At 37.5% G+C, this 11,460-nt stretch overlaps 2 annotated features.

Annotated features, from left to right (window-relative positions):
* Positions 643–1,350: an enhancer, noted in NCBI's record as "OCT4-NANOG-H3K27ac hESC enhancer chr3:21050999-21051706 (GRCh37/hg19 assembly coordinates)". NCBI's record gives its function as "activates a minimal SCP1, AML or CMV promoter by ChIP-STARR-seq in primed H9 embryonic stem cells {active_cell/tissue: H9 hESC(primed)}" and the evidence as "EXISTENCE:reporter gene assay evidence [ECO:0000049][PMID:30033119]".
* Positions 8,239–9,438: an enhancer, noted in NCBI's record as "CDK7 strongly-dependent group 2 enhancer chr3:21058595-21059794 (GRCh37/hg19 assembly coordinates)". NCBI's record gives its function as "activates an origin of replication core promoter dependent on BRD2, BRD4, P300/CBP, MED14 and CDK7 cofactors, with strong dependence on CDK7, by STARR-seq in HCT116 cells {active_cell/tissue: HCT116}" and the evidence as "EXISTENCE:reporter gene assay evidence [ECO:0000049][PMID:35650434]".

An 11,460-nucleotide genomic window follows, 5' to 3' on the forward strand; every position in this document is an offset into this window, starting at 1 on the left:
TTTATCATGCTCTACCTCATAGAATTTTAGCAGTGGCTTCTATGTGTCATTCATAAAATGACTTGAAAGAGTGTTGTGTTTTTCCTTTTAAATTAGAGCTCTGTGGAGTTGATTCAGGGGTCTCATAGTGGGAGGGAATGGTTACAAGAGTGGGGTTCCATGCTTTTTACTTCTCTTTTTTTTTCTTTTTTAACAGCTTTATTGAGATATAGTTTATGTACCATACAAGTCACGCATTTAAAGTGTAGAAGTCAGTGGTATTTAGTATATTCACAAATATGTAACAGAAGCATAGTCAATTTTAGAATATTTTATTGTTGCAGGAAGTCAGGGACCCCGAACGGAGGGACCGGCTGAAGCCATAGCAGAAGAACAGAAATTGTGAACATTTCATGGACATTTATCACTTCCCCAATCAATACTGTTGTGATTTCCTATGCCTGTCTTTACTTTAATCTCTTAATCCTGTCATCTTCATAAGCTGAGGATGTATGTCGCCTCAGGACCCTGTAATGATTGTGTTAACTGCGCAAATTGTTTAAACAGTATGAAATCTGGGCACCTTGAAAAAAGAACAGGATAACAGCAATGTTCAGGGAACAAGGGAGATAACCTTAAAGTCTGGCTGCCTGTAGGCCAGGTGGGACAGAGCCATATTTCTCTTATTACCGAAAATGGGTAAGAGAAATATGGCTGAATTCTTTTCCCAGTAAGGAATATTAATAATTAACAGCCCTGGGAAAAGAATCTATTCCCAGGGCGGGGCCTCTAAAATGGCCTCCCTGGGGGTGTCTGCCTTATGCAGATGTAGATAGGGATGAAACACGCCCGAGTCTCCTGCAGCGCCCCCAGGCTTGCTAGGATTAGGAAATTCCAGACTGGTGAATTCTAGAAAGACCGGTTCTCTGCTCTTGAACCCTGACAATGCATGCACAGTAGGACATGGAAGTTCATTAGTGATTCTAGTTTCACCCTGATCTTCTGCCTTGTGATCTTTTGTTGCCCTTGAAGCATGTGATCTCTGTGACCCACACTCTATTTGTGCACTCCCTCCCCTTTGAAAATTGCTAATAAAAACTTGCTGGTTTTATGGCTCAGGGGGCATCACGGAACCTGCTGACATGTGATGCTCCCCTGGACACCCAGCTTTAAAATTTCTCCTTTGTACTCTTTCCCTTTATTTCTCAGACTGGCTGACACTTAGGGAAACTAGAAAAGAACCTACGTGAAATATCGGGGGCTGGTTTCTCCCAATATTTTATTATCTCAAAAGGAAACTCTGTACCCTTTGGCTATCACCTCCCCTGTGATGGTTAATATTAAGTGTCAACTTGATGGGATTGAAGCATGCAAAGTATTGTTTCTGGGTGTGTCTGTTGCCAATGGAGATTAATATTTGTATGGGTGGACTGGGAGAGACAGGCCCACCTTCAATCCGGTTGGGCACAATCTAATCAGCTGCCAATGTGTCTATGATAAAAGCAGGCAGAGAAATGTGGAAGGATTAGACTGGCTTAGTCTTCTGGCCTACATCTTTCTCCCACGCTGGATGCTTCCCACCCTTGAACATCGGGCTCCAAGTTCTTCAGTGCTGGGGCTCGTGGACCTTTGACCACAGACTGAAGGCTGCACTGTCGATCCCTACTTTTGAGCTTTTGGGACTTGGATTGGCTTCTTTTCTCCTCAGCTTGCAGACAGCCTATTGTGGGAATTCACCATTGTGATCATATGAGTCTGTACTCCTTAATAAACTCCCCTTTTTATATACATCTATCCTCTTAGTTCTGTCCCTCTAGAGAACCCTGACTGATACATCCCCTAACATCCCACATGCCACCTAGCTCTAAACAACCACTAACCTATTCTCTGTCTCTATAGAGTTCTGTGTTACAGAAATTTTATATTAATGGATTTATATAATATGTGCTCTTTTGTGACTGGCTTCTTTTTCTTAGCATAATGTTTTCCTGTTTCAAAATATAACAATGCTTCATTTCTTTTTATGGCCAAAAATTATTCCATTGTAAGTGCCTTTATTTTTTAAACATGTGGCTACAGGCAAATTTTTATTTGAAATAAATTTATATTTGTATACTAAATATGAACACATATATTTGTTATATACTAAATATAATAATTTCAATACTAGTGATGTGAAGTTCTCTTATATCCACAACAGATTTAACACTCTCTGAGCCTATAATTCATCTTTTCTGTAACCAAGGCTTTCACTGCATATTCCTGGTCAGCAGGTGAGTTAACTCCCTTTACTTATAATACAATTACAGAGAAGTTGAATTAGTGTGTAACCACCTTCAATTGTGTTTTCATGTTAAAGATGATCGTGCCCAAAGCTGCTTCCTTAACAAAATGTAGCATACAGAATCTTCCCTCATCTGTCAACTCTCTTGAAACCCTTTAGGTAGAATAATAAAGTGGTTAAGTTTGTATTTTATAGAGTTTATCTACTTGTATTTGAATCCTGGTTCTATTGTTTTTTACCTTCCGAATATTGGGCAAGATACTTACCTATTTTAAACTGATGTTTCTTCATGTGTGAAACAAGAAAATAATTATATACTCATCACAGAGCTTTTGGAGAGGAAATTTAACATGAAAAAAGTATTTGAATCTTAAGCACAGTTTCTGGCAGATAGTAAGCATTTAATGAATATGAATTGCTATTATTTATATTATTATTTTCTATTTTGGTGTTATTCACACTTGCATCCCATCAAATATTGTAGCACAGTGCTTGTTACATCCTGATTGCACTCCCCCAACAAAGTATGTTAAATTAATAAATAAATGAATAAGAAGCCTCTCAAGACAGCAGGATTCAACCTTATAGCTTTGATATTTTTAAACCCTGGATTTCACAACCACAGTTTTCCATCTTTCAGGAGTTATTTGGGGAAGTCTCTGGGGGAAGTTCTTCTCAATAACAAAATTTACTACTGATGTCAAGATGTCTCAAGTACAATCTTCTTTTTAAAAATTTTTTTATTTCAGTAGGTTTTTGGGAAACAGGTGGTGTTTGGTTACATGTGTAAGTTCTTTGGTGGCCATTTCTGAGATGTTGGTGTACCCATCACCTGAGCAGTGTACACTGTACCCAATGTGTAGTGTTTTATCTCTCACCACCCCCCCCCCCACTATATCCCTTGAGTTTCAAAAGTCCAATGTATCATTCTTATGCCTTTACACCCTCACAGCTTGGCTCCCATATATGAGTGAGAACATATGATGTTTGGTTTTCCATTCTTGAGTTACTTCACTTAGAATAATAATCTCCATTTCTACCCAGGTTCCTGCAAATGCCATTATTTTGTTCCTTTTTATGGCTGAGTAGTATTCCATGGCGTGTGTGTGTGTGTGTGTGTGTGTGTGTGTGTATCACATTTTATCTACTTGTTGATTGATGAGCATTTAGACTGGTTCCATATTTTTGCAATTGCAAATTGTGCTGCTATAAACATACATGTGTAAGTATCTTTTTTGTATAATGTCTTTTCCTTTGGGTAGTTAGTAGTGGGATTGCTGGATCAAATGGTAGACCTACTTTTAGTTCTTTAAGGAATCACCACACTGTTTCTCATAGTGGCTGGTTTACTGGTTTACATTGCCACCAACAGTGTAAAAGTGTTCCCTTTTCACCACACCCATGCCAATGTCTTTTTATTTATTTTTTGATTATGGCCATTTTTGCAGGAGTGAGGTGGTATCGCATTGAGGTTTTGATTTGCATTTCCCTGATCATAAGTGATGTTGAGAATTTTTCCATATGCTTGTTGGCCATTTGTATAACTTATTTTGAGAGTTGTCTATTCATTTCCTTAGCCCACTTTATGATGGGATTGTTTGTTTTTATCTTGCTGATTTGTTTGAGTTATCTGTACATTCTGGATATTAGTTCTTTGTGAGATGCATAGATTGTGAAGATTTTTCTCCCACTCTGTGGGTTGTCTGTTAACTCTACTGATTATTTCTTTTGCTGTGTAGAAGCTTTTTAGTTATGTCTCATCTATTTGTATTTGTTTTTGTTGCATTTACTTTTGGGTTCTTGGTCATGAAGTCTTTGCCTAAGTCAATGTCTAGAATGGTTTTTCTGATGTTATCTTCTAGAATCTTTAGGATTTTAGGTCTTAGATTTAAGTCTTTGATCCATCTTGAATTGATTTTTGTATAAGGTGAGAGATGAGGATCCAGTTTCATTCTTCTACATGTGCTTACCAGGTATCCCAGCACCATTTGTTGAATAAGATGTCTGTTCCCCACTTCATGTTTTTGTTTACCTTGTTGAAGAGCAGTTGGCTTTAAGTATTTGGCTTTATTTCTGGGTTCTCTATTCTGTTCTATTGGTCTATGTGCCTATTTTAATATCGTTACCATGCTGTTTTGGTGACTATGGCCTTATAGTATAGTTTGAAGTCAGGTAATGTAATGCCACCAGATTTTTTCTTTTTGCTTAGTATTGCTTTGGCTATGTGGGCTCTTTTTTGGTTCCATATGAATTTTAGAATTTTTTTTTCTAGTTCTGTGAAGAATGAAGATGGTATTTTCATGTGAATTGCATTGAATTTGTAGATTGCTTTGGGCAGTGTGTTCATTTTCACAATATTGATTCTACACATCCATGAGCATGGGATGTGTTTCCATTTGTTTGTGCCATTCATGATTTCTTTCAGCAATGTTTTGTAGTATTCCTTGTAGAGGTTTTTCATGTCCTTGGTTAGCTATATTCCTAAGTATTTTTTTTTTTTTTTTTTGCAGCTATTGTGAAAGGGGTTGAGTCCTTTATTTGATTCTCAGGTTGGTTACTGTTGGTTTATAGCAGAGCTACTGATTTGTAATTTTGTATCCTGACACTTTGCTGAATTCATTTACCAGTTCTGAGAGCTTTTTGCATGAGTCATTAGGGTTTTCTAGGTATATGATCATATTATTAGCAAACAGCAACAAACTAGTTTGACTTCCTCTTTACTGATTTGAATGTCCTTTAATTATTTCTCTTATCTGATTGCTGTGGCTAGGACTTTTAGTACTATGTTGAATAGAAGTGGAGAAAGTGGGCATCCTTGTCTTTTTCCAGTTCTCAGGGTGATTGCTTTCATCTTTTCCCTGTTCAGTATAATGTTGGCTGTGGGTTTGTTGTAAATGGCTTTTATTACCTTAAAATATGTCCTTTCTATGCCAATTTTGCTGAGGTTTTTACTCATAAAGGGATGCTGGATTTTGTCAAATGCTTTTTTTGCATCTATTGAGATGATTGTGATTTTTGTTTTTAATTCTGTTTATGTGGTGTATCACATTTATTGATTTACATATGTTAAACTATCCCTGCATTCCTGGTATGAAACCCACTTGATCATTGTCAATTATCTTTTTGATATGCTGTTGGATTCAGTTAGCAAGTATTTTGGTGATGATTTTTGCATCTATGTTCATCAGCTATATTGATTTGTAGTTTTCTTTTCTTTTTTTTGTTTTTGTTATGTCCTTCCCTGGTTTTGGTATTAGGGTGATACTGGCTTCTTGGAATGATTTAGGGAGGATTCCCTCTTTCTCTATATTTTGGGGTACTGTCAATAAGATTGGTACCAATTCTTCTTTGAATGTCTGATAGAATTAAATTGTCAATCCATTTGATCCTGGACTTGTTTTTGTTGGCAATTATTTTTATTACCATTTCAATCTCACTGCCTGTTACTGGTCTGTTCACAGATTCTATATCTTCCTGGTTTAATCTAGGATGATTGTATATTTCCAGGAATTTATCTATCTCCTCTAGGTTTTCTAGTTTATGTGCATAAAGGTGTTCATAGTAGCCTTGAATGATCTTTTGTATTTCTGTGGTATTATTATCAGTAATAATATCTCCTGTTTCATTTCTAATTGAGTTTATTTGGATCTTCTCTCTTCTTGGTTAACCTCACTAATGGTCTATCAATTTTATTTATCTTCTCAAAGAACCAGCTTTTTGTTTCACTTATCATGTGTATTGTTTCTTTTGTTTGTTTTAATTTCATTTAGTTCTGCTTTGATCTTTGTTATTTCTTTTCTTCTGTTGGGTTTGGATTTGAATTGTTCTTGTTTCTCCTCTTCAGTGAGGTGTGACATTAGATTGCCTACTTGTGTTCTTTCAGACTTTTTGATGTAGGCATTTAGTATTATGAACTTTCCTCTTGGCACCACTTTTGCTGGATCCCAGAGGTTTTGACAGGTGGTGTCTCTATTAGCATTCCGTTCAAATTATTTTTTAATTTTCATCTTGATTTCATTGTTGACTCAACAATTGTTCAGGAGCAGGTTATTTAATTTCCACATATTTGCATGGTTTTGAGGGTTCCTTTTGGAATTGATTTCCAATTTTATTTTACTGTGGTCTGAGAGAGTACTTGCTGTAAATTCTAATTTCTTAAATTTGTTGACACTTGTTTTGTGGACTGTCATAGGATCTATCTTGGCGAATGCTACATGTGCTGATGAATAGAATGTATATTCTGCAGTTGTTGGGTAGAATGTTCTGTAAATATCTGTTAAGTCCATTTGTTCTGGGGTATAGTTAAAGTCTATTGTTTCTTTGTTGGCTTTCTGTCTTGATGACCTGTCTAGTGCTGTTAGTGGAGAATTGAAGTCCGCCACTATTATTGTGTTGTGGTCTACCTAATTTCTTAGATCTAGTAGTAACTGCTTTATAAATTGGGGATTTCCAGTGTTAGGTGCATATATATTTAGGATTGTGACATTTTCCTGTTGGACTAGTCATTTAATCATTATATAGAGTTCATCTTTGTCTTTTTTAACTGCTGTTGCTTTAAAGTTTATTTTCTATGATATATGAATAGCTACTCCTTCTCACTTTTAATCTCCATTTACATGGAATATTTTTTTCCACCCCTTTACCTAAAGTTTATACGAATCCTTATGTGTTAGGTGAGTCTCCTGAAGACAGCAGAAACTTGGTTGATGAATTCTTATCCATTCTGCCATTCTGTACCTTTTAAGTGTGGGTCATTTAGGCCATTTACATTCAATGTTAGTATTGCTATGTGAGGTACTATTCTATTCATCCTGCTATTTGTTGCCTGAATACCTTTTTTATTATTGTGTTATTGTTATATAGGTCCTTGAAACTTATGTTTTAAGGAGATTCTATTTTGGTGTATTTTGAAGATTTGTTTCAAGATTCAGAGCTCCTTTTAGCAGTTCTTGTAGTGTTGGCTTGGTAGTGTTGAATTCTCTCAGTGTTTGTCTGAAAAAGACTTTATCTTTTCTTCATTTATGAAGCTCAGTTTTGCTGAATACAAAATTATTGGCTGATAATTGTTTTGCTTAAGGAGGCTAAAAATAAGACCTCAATTTTTTCTAGCTTGCAGGGTTTCTGCTAAGAAATCTGCTGATAATCTAATAGGCTTTCCTTTTTAGGTTATGTGGTGTTTTTGCCTCACAGCTCTTAAGATTCTTTCCTTTGTCTTGACTTTAGATAAACTGATGGCTATGTGTCTAGACAATGACTTTTTTGCAATAAATTTCCCAAGTGTTCTTTGAGCTTCCTGTTTTTAGATGTCTAGATCTTTAGCAAGACAAGAGAATCTTTCCTTGTTTATTCCCTCAAATGTGCTTTCCAAACTTTAGATTTCTCTTCTTGCTGGAAAACACCAATTATTCTTAGGTTTGGATGTTAAACATAGTCCCAAACTTCTTGAAGGCTTTGTTCATTAAAAATTTATTTTCTTTGCTTTTGAGGGATTGGGTTAATTTGCAAGCTGTGTCTTCAAGCTCTAAGTTTCTTTCTTCTGCTTCTTTGATTCTATTGCTGATACTTTCCAGTACATTTTCATTTCTCTAAGTGTGTCTTTTATTTCCACAAGTTGTGATTGCTTTTTTATTTATGCTATTTCACTGAAGAATTTTCCTTTCATATCCTGTATCATATTTTTGATTTCTTCGAGTTGGACTTCACCGTTCTTTTGTACCTCCATGATTAGCTTAATAATCGACCTTCTGAATTTTTTTTTGACAATTCAGAGATTTCGCCTTGGTTTGGATCCACTGCTGGTGAGCTGCTATGATCTTTTGGGGTGTTAAATAACCTTGTTTTATCATATTGCCAGAATTGTTTTTCTGGTTCCTTCTCATTTGAGTAGACTATGTTAGAGGGAAGATCTAGGATTTAAGGGCTGCTGTTCAGATTCTTTTGTCCCACACAGTGCTCCTTTGATGTGGTGTTCTCCCCCTTCCCCTAGGAATGGGGCTTCTTGAGAGCCCAACCGTAGTGATTGCTTTTGCTCTTCTGGATCTAGCCACTTGGTGGAGCTACTGAGCTCTGGGCTGGTACTGGAGAGTGTCTGCAAAGAGTCCTGTGATGTGATCCATCGTCAGGTCTTTCAGCCATGGATACCAGCACCTGCTCCCGTGGAGGTAGCAAGGGAGTGAAGTGGACTGTGTGAAGGTCCCTGGCTGTGTTTTTGTTTACTGTGCTGGTTTTGTGTTGGTTGGTCTCCAGCCAGGAGGTGGCGCTTTCCAGAGCACATCAGCTGTGGTCCTATACAGAGAATGCAGACTTGCCCTAGGAATACCTGGTTAAGTATTCAGGTTTCTCAAGTGGTGGGAAGGGCCCCATAGGGCTACCAAGAGATTATGACCTTTTCTTCAGCTACCAGGGTGAGTATAGAAAGACTACCAGGTGGGGGCAGGAATAGGCATGTCTGAGCTCAGCCTCTCCTTGGGTGGGGCTTGCTGCGGCTGCTGTGGGGGATGGGGGTGCGATTCCCAGTCCAGTGAAATCATATTCCCTGGAAGATACAGCTGCCTCTGCTGAGTCATACAGGTTACTAGGTAAGTGAGAGACGAGACGCTGGCAGTCATAGGCTTCACCCCACTCCCACATAGCCCGCAGTCCTAAAGATCTGTCTCACTTCCAACTGTACCCGCCCAGTAGTACCAAGTCTATTTCCTAGCAGCTAGTGACCAGGGCTGAGAACTTGCCCCAGAACGTGACCCTTTTCATTGAGAAAGCAAGCCGACTCACGGTTTTTTCAGTGTCTCATGGAGCCTGCAGCGGTGATCCAGTTCCTTGAAAGGGTCTGCGTATTTTCTTGCCTTTCCTGGTATGTTCCTGTGGTAGTTCTTGGAGCAAAAGTTCATGATGTGAGTCTCCACATGCTGCTCTGTCCGTGTGAGCAGGAGCTGCAAGCTAGTCCTGACTCCTATCTGCTCTCTTCCTCTCACTTCTCAAGTACTGTCTTGAACCTCTCATTGCATATCAGGGTGGAAAGCGTATTACTTCTTTCGCTTCTATGTCAATAAACTGTAATGATATCATATCCCCTATCCTTCTTCTCATGTTAAGATGGTGAAATCAGAATCCATGGAAGCATTTCCTCTAGAACTACCTGGCATTGATTTTATTTTAGTTGTCCTTTCTAAGTACTCAGCAGATGTACAAAGTGAAGCAAGCAATAATTCTCTGGACAAGAAAACTGCTGAAGTTCAGCCACATGTCCTTTCTATACCCACTGGTATAACACAGATCCAGTCTTACAGATATGCCGACCTGCTGCTGCTTGAAACAGTTATTTTCTGAGGACTGAGGAGTCTGGGGTTCAATCTCTGTATTTTTATTACTCTTAAGTTCCTGTGGGGGCGTGTTTGTTCCACTTGGTTTTTGAAATTGTAGACTGCTGTGATTTAAGGCAGGGTAAGTTCAGAGTTGTCTTTTAGGAATAAATTATGATTTTGTTGAAGGCTTGCCTTTTCCCTGCACATTTTGTTGGATATACAATAAAACATAAAATAGGACCTTTTCAAAACACAGTAGGGGAAAAAATGACACAGTTGTGCTCTGTCCTCTGAACTTTGGAATCTAAGCAATTGTGGAGGTTAGTTGGCTATTTCTTGGTAAAGCATAGGAATGAAACTTTACGCTTTGTTAGAAGAATGAATGGAAGGACAAAGCTGAAACTGTAGGACGGAAGGACTTAGTTGACCACAGCTGCTTCTAATTCTGTCTCTTCAATGCCTGCCTTCCAGTGGACCACAGGTCCCCCTCTGAACTGATAATGTCTTCACCCTGCATGTTCTTTGGGCTCACTAAAACACGTTGGGTAGAATGGGGACAAACCCATCTTATGTTCACTCAAAATAAACTTGTAGTTTTATAAAGGAATGTTTTAAGAAAAAGAAAATAGAGAAACTAAAGGAAGACAAAATGAAAGAAAACCTAGAAAATAGAGAAACTAAAAGAAAACAAAATGAAAGAAAACCTAGAAAACAGAGAAACTAAAAGAAGACAAAATGAAAGAAAACCTATCCCTTTTCTAAAAGAATAAAGAAAAAATAAACACATGGAGAAAATGGAGGCCGTAGAAATAGATTCATTATTCTCACCAAAGATCAACTTTGTGGCTGTGCCATAGCAGGAACAAACAATTAGTTTCTTCTCTTACTTGAAATTTCTGCATTTACCTCAAACCTCTGTTTATTATGGGCTTTAATCAAGGCTCACTTTAGTTAGTTCAGTTCCTTCTGAAGTTATGTGACCTGAAAGGTAGGTGGTATCCTTGGAGCCTCTATGGTATAAGGAACCTCTCTAACTTGGCTTTGATTAAATCCTGGATTCACTACACTCTATGTGAGTTTTCTAGGTCCCAATTCCATTAACTGTGATAGACTAAAATTCTAAAACCTATCTTGGAAATTATTGTAAGTTATTAATGTCATCTTTATAGTTCTTAGTAGAAGGCCTAGCACAATGTAGAAACTCAAGAAAATGATAGATAATTTGATTCCTATGGTTAATTAGAAGCATCTATATCATCTTACGACTAATGTTTTCCAAGTATCAGTACTTCCTTTTGTTTGAGGTACTCCATGAAAAAAGTCTATAAAGTTCTTCCACAGAGTGAGGTGCACAGTGAGCACTTAGTTCTTTCATTTTCAAGCAGCAGTACCCACTGTTTCCCACCTCAGAGATGCTGAAACCACTACAAACAGTAAAATAATGGCCTTTTACATTGATGAGAACTTATCATAATTTGAAAGAAAAACAAACATATAAAGAGTCATATTGTACATAAATTCTGCTCCCCTCTTCTGGGTTTGTCTACCAGTGTGTTATCTAAACCGCATTTAAATCTCACTTTTCTGTATTCAATTAGCATTGACTATTAAATACTAAGTTATGTAATAAACTATGTGTTACACAATGTTATTTTTAGCTGAATATCAGCTGGGCTGGTCTTGAACCGTAGAGAACAGGGCTAGAAGTAAAAACCCAGGAGATTTGAGATTTTAGAAACAAAGCATAAGTTGAAGCCAAACACGAAGTCTAGAACCAGGCAACAGATAGAAGCCACTAACTTTAGCTGAGCAGATGTCACAGATGTGCAGTGGTCAGGAGAGCAGAAACAGTCACCAGGGAACAGATGACATTAGAAGACAAACAAGTTGTATTAA

The sequence above is a fragment of the Homo sapiens genome, chromosome 3 (genome assembly GCF_000001405.40).
Source record: "Homo sapiens chromosome 3, GRCh38.p14 Primary Assembly".
NCBI lineage: Eukaryota > Metazoa > Chordata > Mammalia > Primates > Hominidae > Homo > Homo sapiens.